This window comes from Homo sapiens, chromosome 19, assembly GCF_000001405.40.
Source record: "Homo sapiens chromosome 19, GRCh38.p14 Primary Assembly".
Lineage (NCBI taxonomy): Eukaryota > Metazoa > Chordata > Mammalia > Primates > Hominidae > Homo > Homo sapiens.
In genome coordinates, this window is record NC_000019.10 from 39,064,770 (window position 1) to 39,080,950 (window position 16,181).

The 16,181-nt window shown below is 47.4% G+C and overlaps 2 annotated features.

Annotated features, from left to right (window-relative positions):
• Positions 8,678–9,877: an enhancer, noted in NCBI's record as "BRD4-independent group 4 enhancer chr19:39564087-39565286 (GRCh37/hg19 assembly coordinates)". NCBI's record gives its function as "activates an origin of replication core promoter dependent on BRD2, P300/CBP, MED14 and CDK7 cofactors, and independent of BRD4, by STARR-seq in HCT116 cells {active_cell/tissue: HCT116}" and the evidence as "EXISTENCE:reporter gene assay evidence [ECO:0000049][PMID:35650434]".
• Positions 13,860–14,154: a silencer, noted in NCBI's record as "tiled region #11111; HepG2 Repressive DNase matched - State 9:DNaseU". NCBI's record gives its function as "represses a minimal TATA promoter and a strong SV40 promoter by Sharpr-MPRA in HepG2 cells {active_cell/tissue: HepG2}" and the evidence as "EXISTENCE:reporter gene assay evidence [ECO:0000049][PMID:27701403]".

The following is a 16,181-nucleotide window of genomic DNA, read 5'->3' on the forward strand; positions in this document are numbered from 1 at the left end:
CTATAAATTACTTTCCGCTTATTCTTTCTTCATTATAATAAGGACATTATCTTGATTAAAAATTTTATTTTGTATGTGGGTGGGTTATATTATCCATAAACTTTATTTCAGGGTGGTAAAGGGAGCATATAAAATATTTATTATAACACTAATCTATGCTAAAAATCAAAACAGCCGTTACCCCTGGGGGTGGGGGGCGGGCGGTAAGAGGATTGACTGCAAAAGGGCACAAAGGAATGTTCTGGAGAGAAATGTTCTCTGCCTTGATTGAGGTGGTGTACAATTGTCAAAACTCATCCAACTGCACACTTAAAGTGGGCGCGTTTTACCGTAATTATAATGTAAATTATACCTCACTCGAGTGGAATAAAACAAATTTTAAAATATCTGCATAGAAACTTTAAAAGTATAGATTTGGCCAAGCATGGTGGCTCAGGCCTGTAATCCCAGCACTTTGGGAGGGCAAGGTGGGTGGATCACCTGAGGTCAGGAGTTCAAGACCAGACCAGCCTGGCCAACATGGAGAAACCCCACCTGTACTAAAAATACAAAATTAGCCAGGCGTGGTGGCGGGTGCCTGTAATCCCAGCTGTCTGGGAAGCTAAGACACAAGAAGCGCTTGAACTCGGGAAGCAGAGGTTGCAGTGAGCCAAGATCTTGCCACTGCACTCCAGCCTGGGCAACAGAGCAAGACCCTGTCTCAAAATTAACAAAAAACATAGACTTGTTCTAGAAAGCAGATAGAGATCTGCTAAGGCCTTGAAATCAATTAAGTGGATTTAGACCAGCATTTAAAAACAAAAGCAAAAACAGAAGAGATTAGAGGCTGGCACTGCCCACATTGTGAGTCTTGCACAAGTTATATAAAACTTTTTTTTTTTTGAGACAGAGTCTCACTCTGTCACCCAGGCTGGAGTGCAGTGGCATGATCTCAGCTCACTGCAACCTCCGCCTCCTGGGTTCAAGCAATTCTCCCACCTCACCCTCCCGAGTAGCTGGGATTACAGATGCGTGCCACCATGCCCGGCTAAATTTTTTTGTACTTTTAGTAGAGACGGGGTTTCACCATGTTGGCCAGGCAGGTCTTGAACCCCTGACCTCAAGTGATCCACCTGCCTTGGCCTCCCAAAGTCCTGGGATTACAGGCGTGAGCCACCGCAACTGGCCAAGTTTTGTAAACTTTAATTATGTAATAGATATACATATATGCATGTGTGCTAGGTTGTGATATAAGTACATGTCTTATTTTGAACTGTAGTCAAAAACATTGAAAAAACTAAAATGGTACTTGCCAGACTTTCAAACATAGATCTCTTACCTCTTTTGCAGCAATGTCTGAGATATGATTAGATCATCATGATTTTATCCGAGAAGACTGACAGTCAGAAGCTTGTGTTTGAAAGAGGATTAAACGTGGTAGAGTGAGTTCTAATAACAGAAATCACAGGGATGGGGAATAAAAAGAGTGTTGGGGTGAGAGCTGAATGCTCATCGTTCATAATGATGTCTATATTTGATCAATCCAGAATTAACATGACAAACCTGGAAAAATACTTCCAAATTGCATCACATGCAAAGGGCTAATTTTAATAGATTTCCCACAAATGAATAAGAAAAGGAACAATCTCATCAGGGGAAAAAATACACAGAGAATGTGAACAAATAGTTCATAGAAAAGGAAATAAGAATGGCTCTTAAGTCCGGGCGCCGTGGCTCACGCCTGTAACTCCAGCACTTTGGGAGGCTGAGGTGAGTGGATCACTTGAGGTCAGGAGTTCGAGACCAGCCTGGCCAACATAATGAAACCCTGTCTCCACTAAAAATACAAAAATTAGTCGGGCGTGGTGGTGGGGGTCTGTAATCCCAGCTACTCGGGAGGCTGAGACAGGAGAATCGCTTGAACTCAGGAGGCAGAGGTTGCAGTGAGCCGAGATCGCACCACTGCATTCCAGCCTGGGCAACAGAGCGAGACCGTCTTTTTTTTTTTTTTTTTTTCTGAGACGGAGTCTCGCTCTGTCACCCAAGCTGGAGTGCAGTGGTGCGATCTCAGCTCACTGCAAGCTCCACCTCCCGGGTTCACGCCATTCTCCTGCCTCAGCCTCCCGAGTAGCTGGGACTACAGGCGCCTGCCACCGCGCCTGGCTAATTTTTTGTATTTTTAGTAGAGACGGGGTTTCACCATGTTAGCCAGGATGGTCTCGATCTCCTGACCTCGTGATTCACCCGCCTCGGCCTCCCAAAGTGCTGGGATTACAGGTGTGAGCCACCATGCCCGGCTGCCACACACTTTTAAATGACCAGATCTCTTGAGAACTCACTCACTACCAAGGGGATGGTGCTCACCCATTCATGAAGGATCCACCCCATGATCCAATCACCTCCCACCAGGCTCCACCTCCAATGTTGGAAATTGCAATTCAACATGAGATTGGTGGTGATAGCACCTAGACTATATCGGCCACGGTACCTAGAGCATAACGTGCAGTGATGAAAAACAAATCCAACAGCTTGTCAAGGTCATCAGTGACTTCCATGGTGCCAAATCCAAAGTTCAATTCTTTTTTTTTTTTTTTTTTGAGATGAAGTCCCTCTCTGTCACCCTCTCTGTCCAGGCTGGAGTGCAGTGGTACAATCTCAGCTCACTGCAACCTTGGCCTCCTGGGTTCAAGCGATTCTGCTGCCTCAGTCTCCTCTGTAGCTGGGACTACAGGCATGTGCCACCACACCTGGCTAATTTTTGTATTTTTAGTAGAGATGGGGTTTCACCGTGTTGGCCAGGCTGGTCTCAAACTCCTGACCTCAAGTGATCCGCCCACCTCAGCCTCTCAAACTGCTGGGATTACAGGCATGAGCCACCGCACCCAGCCTCAATTCTTATTTTCTTTTCTTTCTTTTTTTTTTTTTGAGACAGTCTTACTCTTGTCACCCAGGCTGGAGTGCAGTGGCCAATCTCGGCTCACTGCAACTTCCACCTCCTGGGTTAAAAAGATTCTCCTGCCTCAGCCTCCCAGGTAGCTGGGATTACAGGCACCCGCCACCACTCCCGGCTGAGGGCCTCGTATTATAAGAATATTTGTGATTGCATTTGGAGCCTACATGGATTATCCAGGATCATCTTCCCATTTTAATATTCTTTTTTTTTTGAGATGGAGTTTCGCTCTTGTTGCCCAGGCTAGAGTGCAATGACACGATCTCAGCTCACTGCAACCTCTGCCTCCAGGGTTCAAGTGATTCTCCTGCCTCAGCCTCCTGAGTAGCTGGCATGTCCGCAATTTATTCCTTCTGATGGGTTCTTGGTCTTGCTGACTTCAAGAATGAAGCCATGGACCTTCCTTCGGGGTGAGTGTTACAGCTCTTTAAGACGGTGTGTCTGAAGTTTGTTCCTTCAGATGTTCACATGTGTCTGGAGTTCCTTCCGGTGGGCTCATGGTCTCACTGACTTCAGGAGTAAAACCGCAGGCCTTCACAGTGAGTGTTACAGCTCTTAAAGGTAGTGTGGACCCAAAGAATGAGCAGCAGCAAGATTTATTGTGAAGAGCCAGAGAACAAAGCCTCCACTGTGTGGAAAAGGACCAGAGCAGGTTGCCACTGCTGGCTCCAGTGGCCAGCTTTTATTCCCTTATTTGGCCCCGCCCACATCCTGCTGATTTGTCCATTTTACAGAGTGCTGATTGGTCCATTTTGCAGAGTGCTGATTGGTCCATTTTATAGAGTGCTGATTGGTGCGTTTACAATCCTTTAGCTAGACACAGAGTGCTGATTGGTGTGTTTTTACAGAGTGCTGATTGGTGCATTTACAATCCTTTAACTAGACACAGAGCGCTGATTGGTGCGTTTACAATCGTTTAGCTAGACAGAAAAGTACTCCAAGTCCCCACTCGACCCAGGAAGTCCAGCTGGCTTCACCTCTCACTGGGATTACAGGCATGTGCCACCACACCCAGCTAATTTTGTATTTTTAGTAGAGATGGAGTTTCTCCATGTTGGTCAGGCTGGTCTCAAACTCCCGACCTCAGGTGATCCACCCACCTCAGCCTCCCAAAGTACTGGGATTACAGACATGAGCCACCACCCCCAGCCTCTGTTTCTTTTTTTTGGGCACCAGTAATCCCAGCTACTTGGGAGGCTGAGGCAGGAGAATCACTTGAACCCAGGAGGCAGAGGTTACAGTGAGCCAAGATGGCACCACTGCACTCCAGCCTGGGCAACAGAGCGAGACTCTGTCTCAAAAAAAAAAAAAAAAAAAAAGAGAGAAAAAAACCTGAGGGTGCTGTTATAGAAGGTGCAAATGTGCAAATGGCCACTGTGAACAGCCAGTGGACCCTGCTGCACCTTTCCTCCCCTCCCATCAACCTCTTTTGTGCCTCCCCCTCCGTGTACCACCTTCTCTGTCACCAACCCTGGCCTCACAACTCTCTCCTTTGCCACTATCATCAACAAACAAACAAACAACAACAACAAAAACCTCAGACTTCTCAAGAACAATACTGCAAACAAGATGAGAGAAAAATGCCTTTAAAATTCTGAAACAAATGGAGTTTGGTCCCTGAATTCTGTGGCCAGTCAACTATCAATCAAGTCAGAGGAGAGTTTGAAGACATTTTCAGACGTGTAAAGTCTGAAACGTTTACCTCCCATGACCTTGCTCAAGAAGCTCCAGGATGGCCAGGCACGGTGGCTCACGCCTGTAATCCCAGCACTTTGGGAGGCTGAGGCGCGTGGATCACGAGGTCAGAAGTTCGAGACCAGCCTGACCGACATGGTGAAACCCCATCTCTCCTAAAAATACAAAAATTATTTGGGCATGGTGGTGTGTGCCTGTGATACCAGCTACTCGGGAGGCTGAGGCAGGAGAATCGCTTAAACCTGGGAGGCGGAGGTTGCAGTGAGCCGAGATCGCGCCACTGCACTCCAGCCTGGGCGACAGAGCAAGACTCCATCTCACAAAAAAAAAAAGAAGAAAAGCTTCAGGATGCACTCAACTGAAATGAGAGCACCACCAAGAAAAAGGGGAGCACTGAGATCCAGGACACAGGGGACCTGACATAGGAGAGAAGTGAAGAGGCACCTCAGGATGGCAGTAAAGGAGGTCCCAGCATGGCAGCAGGGCACCACAGTCTGAGGGCAGGCCGGGTATGGTGTTGTGTGCCTGTGATCCCAGCTACTGGGGAGGCCGTGGCAAGAGGATCACTTCAACCCAGGAGCTCGAGGCTGCAGTGAGCCATGATCATGCCACTGCACTCTAGCCTGGGTGACAGACAGAGACCCTTTCTCTAATATAGACATAAAAATATTATATAAAAATAAATATATAATATTTCTATTATATAAAAATTATTTCTACATATTTCTATAATTATATAATATACAAATTATTTATTTATTTATATTATATAAAAATAAAATAGAAAAGGTTAGAGGGCAACAAGTCCAGATAGGACCGTGTGACTCATGAGGCCAATGTGGGGGCAATCATCGCCAGCATGCCAACTGCCATTGTACTGTTTTTTTTGTTTTTTGGTTTTTTTTGAGACAGTGTCTCACTCTGTTGCCCACGCTGGAGTGCAGTGGTATAATGATCTCAGCTCACTGCAGCCTTGACCTCCTGGGCTCAAATGATCGTCCCACCTCAGCCTCCCAAGTAGCTGGGATGACAGGTGCACACCACCACACCTGGCTAGTTTTTGTATTTTTTTGTAGAGACGGGGTTTCACCGTGTCACCCAGGCTGATCTCGAACTCCTGAGCTCAAGCAATCTGCCCACCTTGCACTGTGGCCTCCCAAAGTGCTGAGATTGCAGCTTGAGCCACTGCACCCGGCCTTTGTTTTGTTTTTTAAGTTGAGGAGAGTATGGCTGGGTGAACATGAACCACATTCTTCCTTTCTTTTTAACCAGAGACAGGGTCTCACTACATCACCCAAGCTGCTCTTGAACTCCTGGGCTCAAGAGATCCTCCCACCTCAGCCTCCCAAAGTGCTGGGAGCCACCACACCCGGCTCACATTCCTGTCTATACTTGACTTGCCTTGACCATGGCAGAGAGCCTGTTCTCCCTGCGAGACCTGCCATGGACCATGGCAGAGAGCCTGTTCTCCCTGAGTGACCTGCCATGGACCCAGGGGTATACTCGTTTCCCTCTAGTAACTGTGCTGCTGGGCCCACGCCTGAGAGCCTGTGGAGGGCTGGGGTGTTCCTGGAGGTAGGATACACAGAGCTGACCACACTCCTGCTGACCATGCACAGCGTGACCCACGCTTCAGCCCTGACAGATCCCCCAGTTGGTGGTGAGTCATGTGCCCTCTAGGACTCAACTCCTGTTCTCACCCACTGAACTCACGAGGAAGGATTAGTGTAGACCCTCAGGGAAGATCACACCAGATTTGATCTTGATATGACCCAGCTCATCCTTCACACAGCAGGGGCCAGGCTGCCCTTTCCTCACACAGAAGGATGAGCCTTGCTCTCCAGTGGGTTTTTATTTATTTATTTACAGACAGGATCTACCAAGGCTGGAGTGCAGTGGTGAGATCTTGGCTCACTGCAACCTCTGCCTCCCTCCCAGGCTCAAGTGATCCTCCCATCTCAGCTTTCTGAATAGCTGGGACCACGGGCACACACCACCACACCTGGCTAATTTTTGTATTTTTTGTAGAGACGAGGTTTAGCCATGTTGGCCAGGCTGGTCTCAAACTCCTGGGCTCAAGCGATCGGCCCGCCTCGGCCTCCCAAAGTGCTGGGATTACAGGCGTGAGCCACTGCGTCCAGCCTAATAAGATATTTTTTAAGGCAATTTTTTGGGGGGGACAGGGTCTTGCTCCGTTGCCCAGGCTGGAGTGCAGTGGCATGATCACAGCTCACTGCAGTCTCCTGGGATCAAGTGATCCTCTCACCTCAGCCTCCCGAGCACACCCCCGTAGGACTTTAAAATCTTCCAACACTCCTCAATGTGACTACAGTGGAAAATGGTGTACCCAACAATGGTACAATAAATAGTTGGGGCCAGGCATGGTGGCTCACACCTGTAATCCCAGCACTTTGGGAGGCCGAGGTGGGCAGATCATTTGAGGTCAGGAGTTCAAGAGCAGCCTGGCCAACATGGTAAAACCCTGTCTCTACTAAAAAAAAAAAAAAAAAAAGTCCGGGTGCAGTGGCTCACGCCTGTAATCCCAGCACTTTGGGAGGCCGAGGCAGGTGGTTCACGAGGTCAGGAGATCGAGACCATCCTGGCTAACAAGGTGAAACCCCGTCTCTACTAAAAAATACAAAAAAAAATTAGCCGGGCATGGTGGCGGGCACCTGTAGGCCCAGCTACTTGGGAGGCTGAGGCAGCAGAATGGCATGAACCCGGGAGGTGGAGCTTGCAGTGAGCCGTAATCGCGCCACTGCACTCCAGCCTGGGCAACAGAGTGAGACTCCGTCTCAAAAAACAAAAAACAAAAATTATCCAGGCATGGTGTCATGTGCCTGTATTCCCAGCTACTTGGAAGGCTGAGGCAGGAGAATCACTTGAACCCAAGTAGCAGAGGTTGCAGTGAGCCAAGATCACACCACTGTGCTCCAGCCTAGGCGACAGAGCAAGACTCTGTCAAAAAAAAAAAAATAATAATAAAATAAAAATAAATAAATAGTTGGGCCAATATTTATAAGAGCTCATGTTTGTTTGAGGGTTTAGTCTGTCCCTGGCCTCAATTCCGGATTTTATGGAACTGTTATGTCCACCTGATGATACAGTGATGCTTGGAGGCCACGTGCAGTGGCTCACGCCTATAATCCCAGCACGCTGGGAGTCCAAGGCAGGTGGATCGCTTCAGCCCAGGAGTTTGAGACCAGCCTGGTCAGCAAGGCGAGACTGTGTCTACAAAAAATTTTTAAAAATCAGGTGGGTGAGGTGGTGTGAAACTGTAGTCTCAGCTACTAGGGAGGTTGAAGTGGGAAGATCACTTGAGTCCAGGAGTTCGAGGCTGCAGTGAGCTATGATCATGACACTGCACTGCAGCCTAGGCAACAGAATGAGACCCTGTCTTAAAAAACAAAATACATGGCCAGGAAGGGTGGCTAACGCCTGTAATCCTAGCACTTTGAGAGGCCAAGACAGGTGGATCACCTGAGGTCGGGACTTCGAGACCAGCCTGACCAACATGGAGAAACTCCGTCTTGACTAAAAATGCAAAATTAGCTGGGCGTGGTGGTGCATGCCTGTAATCCCAGCTACTCAGGAGGCTGAGGCAGGAGAATTGCTTGAACCCCGGAGGCGGAGATTGCAGTGAGCCAACATTGCGCCATTGCACTCCAGCCTGGGCAACAAGAGCAAAACTTCATCTTAAAAAAAAAAAAAAGAAAAGAAAAAAAGACAAAAACAAAACCATGCTGGGAGATGACACAGGACCTGAGGCCTGAAATCCAGGATGAGATGGCAGAGGGATGAATCGGAGACAGTGGGGCCTGGTGGTTAAGGCCAAGTGTGCAGAAAGGAATGAATCTCAGGTTTTTTGTTTGTTTGTTTGTTTGTTTTTTGACACAGAGTCTTGCTCTGTTGCCCAGGCTGGAGTGCAATGGTGCAATCTCAGCTTACTGCAACTTCCACATCCCAGGTTCAAGAGATTCTCTTGTCTCAGCTTCCTGAGTAGCTGGGAACACAGGCGTCCATCACTATGCCTGGCTAATTTTTGTATTTTTAGTAGAGACAGAGTTTCACCATGTTGGCCAGGCTGGTCTCGAACTCCTGACCTCAGGCGATCCACCCGCCTTGGCCTCCCAAAGTGCTGGGATTACAGGCATGAGCCACCGCACCTGGCTTAGCTATTCTTCTTACTGACAGTGTGATGTCAGGTAAGTGAGCTCACTCCTCTGAACCTCAGTTTCCTCTTCTGTAATACAAAATGGGACCATGTGAAGTGGTGAGGAATCCATGCAATCATACACGGTTCACAGGAAGCCTCCAGTGAACTGGCTGTGGCTGTGATTATGAGGTGAAGTGTGGGGTGGGCTGTCCTGGGTCCGTCACAGGAAGCCTCCACATCTGAGAGGGTGAGTCACTCTTCCTTCCTGCTGTAATTTGAAGCAGGGTGGCATCTCTCGGGAGGTGAGCTGTGCCCTGGGCATGCTGCTCACCTCCGGTGGCTCACAGGTCCCCTGACATGTGACATCATATGCAGTCAGGATGAAATCATGGAGCTCAAAGTTTGGGATGAAAGGAAATGGTTCTGCTGGGAGGCGGAGATTGCAGTGAGCCAAGATTGCACCATTGCACTCCAGCCTGGGCGACAGAGTAAGACTCGGAAAAATAGAAAAGAAAAAGGAAAGAAAAAAAGAAGGAAAGAAGGAGGGAAGGAAGGAAGGAGAGAGAGAGAGAAACGAAAGAAGGAAGGAAGGAGAGAGAGAGGAAGGAAGGAAGGAGAAAGAAAGAAAGAGAAAGAAAGAAAGAAAAGAGAGAGAGAGAAAGAAAGAGAGAGAGAGAAAGAAAATGATTCTGTGCTCTCCTCCTCCTCTCAATCTCAAATTCTAGGGTCCAGCACTTAGCCGGGCAGCAAGAATGGGTTCATGATCCCAACAGTCATTAGGATTCATCCATGTATTTGATCATTTAATAAATCCTTACTGCACACCTGCTATGTGCCAGACAGCCAACATCCCTGCCTTCCTGGAGCTGTTAGGAAGCTGGGGCTGATAGCTCCAGGGGAGATGCTAGAAAATAAACATAATAAACAAGTAAATATTACAGTCTGTTAGAAGGTGATGAATGCTATGAAACAAATATTAGCCAGGGTAAGCTTAGGGCAGGGGTCAGCAAACTACAGTCGGGTGGCCAAATCCAGCCTGTCATTTGTTTTTATACAGCCTACAACCTAAGAATGGTTTTTACTTTTTTTTTTTTTTTAAAGACGAAGTCTCTCCCTGTCACCCAGGCTGGAGTGCAGTGGTGTGATCACTTCTCACTGCAACCTCTGCCTCCTGATTTCAAGTGATTCTCCTGCCTCAGCCTCCCGAGTAGCTGGGATTACAGGCAAACACCTCCATGCCCAGCTAATTTTTGTATTTTGAGTAGAGACGGGGTTTCACCATGTTGGCCAGGCTGGTCTCAAACTCCTGAACTCAGGTGATCTGCCTGTCTTGGCCTCCCAAAGTGCTGGGATTATAGGCATGAGCCACCATGCTTGGCCTAGTTTTAACTTAAAAAAACTTTTTTTTGAGACAGGTTCTCACCTCTGTCACTCAGGCTGGAGTACAGTGGTGCGATCATGGCTCACCACAGCTTCAACATCCCGGGCTCAGATAATCCTCCCACCTCAGCCTCCCAAGTAGCTGGGACTACACGCGTGCACCACCACACCCTGCTAATTTTAGTATTTTTCTAAGAGATGGGGTCTTGCTGTATTGCCCCAGCTGGTCTCAAACTTCTGGACTTAAGTGATCCTTCTGCCTCAGCTTCCCAGAGCACTGGGATTACAGGCATAAGCAACCATGCCCGGTTGATTTTTATGTTTTTTAATGGTTGGAAAACAAAAACAAAAGAAAAATAATATTTTCTGGTGTATGAAAATTATATGAATTTTGGCTGGGCGTGGTGGCTCATGCCTGTAATCCCAGCACTTTGGGAGGCTGAGGCGGGCGGATCACCTGAGGTCAGGAGTTTGAAACCAGCTTGGCCAACATGGTGAAACCCCATCTCTACTAAAAATGCAAAAATTAGCCTGATGTGATGGTGGGCACCTGTAATCCCAGCTACTCGGGAGGCTGAGGCAGGAGAATCGCTTGAACCCGGGAGGCAGAGGTTGCAGTGAGCTGAGATCGCGCCATTGCACTCCAGCCTGGGCAACAAGAAAGAAACTCCATCTCAAAAAAAAAAGAAAAGAAAAGAAAAGAAAATTATATGAATTTCCAATTTCAGTGTCTGTAAGTTTGTTTGTTTTTTGGAGATGAGGTCTCACTATGTTGGCCATGTTGGTCTTGAACTCTTGGCCTCAAGCAATCCTCCTGCCTCGACCTACCAAAGTGCTAGGATTACAGGCATGAGCCACTGCGCCTGGCCTCCATAAAGTTTTACTGGAATACACCCACACTCATTGGGTCCTGTAATGTCTGTAGGTGCTTTTGTTTGATGACAGAGTCCAGTAGCTGTGACGGAGGCTACGTGGCCTGCAAATCTTAAAATATTTAATATCTCGCCCTTTACCAAAAAACTTTTGCAGACCCCTGGCTTGTGGGGTGGGGAGTAGTGTGTGGAGGTGGATTGTAATTTTAAATTAGTCAAGGGGAGGGCTGCCTGAGAAAGTGTCATCTGGGTAAGGCCTGAAGGAAGGAGAGAAGGGGCTACATGGGCACCTGGGGAAGAATGTTCTAGGTCGAGGGAACAGGCAATAAGAAGGCCCTGAGAAGTGGGGACATGACTAATATGTTCAAAGAACAGTGTAGAGGCCAGGTGCAGTGGCTCACACCTGTAATCCCAGCACTTTGGGAGGCCGGCGTGGGCGGATCACTTGAGGTCAGCAGTTCAAGACCAGCCTTGGCAACATGGTGAAACCCTGCCTCTACTAAAAATACAAAAATTAGCCCGGCATGGTGGCATGCACCTGCAGTCCCAGTTGCTCGGGAGGCTGAGGCAGAAGAATCGCTTGAACCCAGGAAGCAGAGGTTGCAGTGAGCTGAGATTGCACCACTGCACTCCAGCCTGAACAACAGAGCAAGACTCCATCTCAAAAAAACAAAACAAAACAAAAAACAGCGTAGAAGCCTGGTGCCTGAACCAGTGTGGGTGAGGGGCAAGTAGTAAGAGATAAGGAAAGAGAAGTGACGGGGAGGTCACGTGGGGTCTCGTGGGCCATAAGGAGGTCTCTGGCTTTCCCCTGAGTGAGAGGATCAGGAGGGCTTTGAGCAGGTGAGAGACGTGATCTGACTCAGGTGTTCACAGGACCCCTCTGGTTACATGTGAGGGACAGACTGCAGGGGGTGAGGAGGGGGACAGGATGGGAGCGGGAAGACCAGGGAGGGACCTGCTGAGACAGCCCAGGAAGGAGAGGATGGGTAGGGGCTGCAGAATTGGGCAGGTTCTGGATAGATTGGAAGGTGGAGCTGACAGCATTTCACACTGGATAATATTCTAAGCAGGGAAGAGTCACTCCTAAACGTATTCACACACCTGTAATCCCAGCAGTTTGGGAGGCCAAGGCGGGTGGATCACCTGAGATCAGGAGTTCGAGACCAGCCTGGCCAACATGCCGAAACCCCATCTGTACTAAAAATACAAAAAATTGACCAGCCATGGTGGTGCGCACCTGTAATCCCAGCTACTCCATAGGCTGAGGCAGGAGAATCGCTTGAACCCGGGAGGCGGAGGTTGCATTGAGCCGAGATCATGCCATTTCACTCCAGCCTGGGCAACAAGAGCGAAACTCTGTCTCAAAAAAAAAAAAAAAAAAGTTTTCACACACCAGGCTTTGAAATCAGACACACCAGGGTTCTAGTCCTGGCTTCTCTGCCACACACCAGTTGTGTGATTTTAGGTAAACTGCTCAATGTCTCTAGCCTCAGTTTCTCCATCTATAAAATGGGCTTAATAAGCAGCATGCAGTATCAATGGGATTACTCATGCAGAGCATTCGGCACACAGCCAAGCACTCCATACAGGGAAGCTGCGATAACGGGGATCATTCCCGGGGGGACCCCAAGACCTGTTAGCCCTGGTCCCTGTCCCCAGGTGCATGCTACCGTTCTTTCTGGAAGGGAGCTGTCCCTCTACCATTCACCTTGTCTGCCCCCCACCCAGTCGGTGACCTGTAGGTCACACGACAAGGTGCTTAGCCTTGCTGAGCCTCAGTTTCCTCGTCTGTAAAATGGGTCCATCTGTAAAATTTCTAAAGTCTGCATTAAAGATTGTCAGGGTCATTAAATGAACACACAGCGTGTCAATCACTCGGGAATCAGTTGCTGCTGTGGCTTCACCATAAAGGTCGACAACAGCAACTACGTGGATGTCCCCAAGCATTTTCCCCAACATCTTATTATGAACATTTTCAAATGCACAGGAAAACTGAAAGACCTTTACAAGGAACACACATATATCCGCCATATATCCAACTGGATTCTATCATTAACATCTTACTATTCTTGGCCAGGCACAGTGGGTCACGCCTGTAATTTCAGCACTCTGGGAGGCCAAGGTGGAAGGATCCCTTGAGCCTAGGAGTTTGAGACCAGCCTGGGCAACATCGCAAGTCTTCGTCTCTACAAAAAATACAAAAATTAGCCGGGCGTAGCAGTGTGAGCCTGTAGTCCTAGCTACTCAGGAGGCTGAGGTGGGAGGATTGCTTGAGCCCGAGAAGTTGAGGATGTAGTGAGCTGAGATCGCACCGCTGTACTCCAGCCTGGGGAACAGAGCAAGATCCTGACTTTAAAAAAAAAAAAAGAAAAAGAAAAAACCAAACCCAAAAAGCCTACATCTTACTATTCTTTATATATGTACATATATAACTATACATATATAAATTAGAGATGGGGGTCTCACTATGTTGCCCAGGCTGGTCTTGAACCCCTAGGCTCACATAACCCTCCTGCCTCAGCCTCCCAAGTAGCTAAGACTGCAGGTATGTACCACCGCACCCAGCTAAAACCTTGAAATATTTCTATTAAGATTTTTAAGGACTCGGTTTATAACAAGTGCTGTTTTTACCACAGGTCTTAGTTCATTACATCCATTCATTCACTCATCTAATTCTCACAACTCTCTAAAATACGTCAAATATACAGCATGGTTTATTATCCCCATTTTGCAGATGTGGAAATTGAGGCACAGAGAGGCAAATGGCTCACAGCTACTCAATGCTGGAGCTGGGTTTAAACGCAAGCTGTCTGTCTCCAAAGCCCTGGCTTTTTTCCATGGATGGCATCTCTCAGATTGGGTAAAGTAAACCACACAATGGAATATTATGAGCCAGTATCAAAGAATGCTTAGAAGAGTCCAGTAAAAATAACGTCAGACTGTGGTATGACCGTGATTCAGCCCAATTCCTGTGTACAAGAAAAAATGCTCCAAGCATTCTCAATGGCCACTGAGTGATTGAATGAAATCTTTTGTAAATAATTGTGGCTATTATCTATGGAGCTCTTTCTTGATCAGCCCCACCCCGTGTTACACGTTTTACTTGCTGTATCTTTCCAAGCATTTGCAAAGTAGGCACTGTTGTATCAGTTTTAGATATTAGGTCACTGAGGCTAACACAAGAGCAGACACTCACCCAAGGTTACCCAGTCACAAAGTGGCAGAACCAGAATTCAAACCCAGGTTTGTGGCTATGCACAGTGACTCACGCCTATAATCCCAGCATTTTGGGAGGCTGAGGTGGGAGGATTGCTTGAGGACAGGAGTTTGAGGTCACAGTGAGCTATGATTGCATGATTACACCAATGCACTCCAGCCTGGGTGACAGAGTGAGACCCTGTCTCCAAAAACAAAAACAAAACCCAGGTTTGTTAGTTCCTTGAGCCATGAAACCTCCCTGGCTCTTTCTAAGTTTTCAGTAATGAGATGTGAATATTTTCTTTTTTCTTTTTATTTTTTGAGACGGAGTCTGACTCTGTCGCCCAGGCTGGAGTGCAATAGTGTGATCTCAGCTCACTGCAATCTCCGCCTCCCGGGTTCAAGCGATTCTCCTGCCTCAGCCTCCTGAGTAGCTAGGATTACAGGCGCTCACTACCATGCCTGGCAAATTTTTGTATTTTTGGTAGAGATGGGGTTTCACCACGTTGGCCAGGCTGGTCTCGAACTCCTGCCCCCGTGATCTGCCCACCTTGGCCTCCCAAAGTGCTGGGATTACAGGCTGGCCAATGATGCTACTATTTTCATAATGGAGAAATAGTTTTTAAAGAAGTCTCCTTAAGAAAGTAGACTCATTTATTTTTATTTTATTAGCTATGTGCATTACTTTGATAAAATTTAAAACCCTAACTTACACCGTACACAAAAATCAGTTCCAGATAGATTGCCAACCTAAGGGTAACTCACATGAGAAAGCTATTGGAAAATAACAGAAGAGGCCAGATGCGGTGGCTCACTCCTGTAATGCCAACAGTTTGGGAGGTCAAAGCAGGAGGATCACTTGAGTCCAGGAGTTCAAGACCAGCCTGGGGAATATGGCAAGACCTTGTCCCTACAAAAAAATTAACAAAATTAGCTGGGCGTGGTGCACGCACCTGTAATCCCAGCACTTTGGGAGGTCGAGGCGGGTGGATCACCTGAGGTCAGGGGTTCGAGACCAGCCTGGCCAACATGGTGAAACCCCCGTCTCTGCCTAAAATACAAAAATTAGCCGGGCATGGTGGCAGGCGCCTGTAATCACAGCTACTCGGGAGGCTGAGGCAGAATAGCCTGAACCCGGGAGGCAGAGGTTGCAGTGAGCCGAGATCATGCCATTGCACTCCAGCCTGGGCAACAGAGTGAGACTCTGTCTCAAATAAATAAATAAATAAAAATAGAAATAAACAAAATTAGCCAGGCATGGTGGTGGTGCATGCCTGTGGTCCCAGCTACTGGGAGGCTGAGGTGGGAGGATTGCTTGAGCCAGGGAGGTAGAGGCTGCAGTGAGCTATGATGCCACTGCACTACAGCCTAGGTGACAGAGCAAGACCCTTTATCTAAAAAATAAAATAAAATAAAAATAAATAAACCAATAAAAATGGACAACCCAGTAGAAAACCGGACAAGACACTTGAACAAGCACATCACAAAAAGGATATCCAAAAGGCTGATATGCAAATGAAGAGATGTTCAATTTCATTACTCAGCAGGGAAATGCAAATTAAAGCTACAATGAGCTACCTCTACACACCCACCAGAATGACTAAAAATAAAGCACCTGACAATGCTTTATTGGTTCCAAGTGTTGGCAGCGATGTGGAACAATGGAAGTGTTCTAACGTGGCTGGTGGGAGGAGAAGAAATACCACTTTGGAAACCTCTTTGGCTGTATCTACCAAAGATAAAGATACATGCACCTTATGACCCAGCCATCTTATACTTCTAGTTTACATCCAAGAGAAATGTGTATATATGTTTAACAAAATATGTACTAGAATGTTGATCACAGCACTATTTGCAAAAGCCGAAAAAAAAGGAAGTAACTCAAAATTCCATTGACAATTGGTTTTGATAGATAAACCAACTGATAAATAAATTGATAAATAAACCA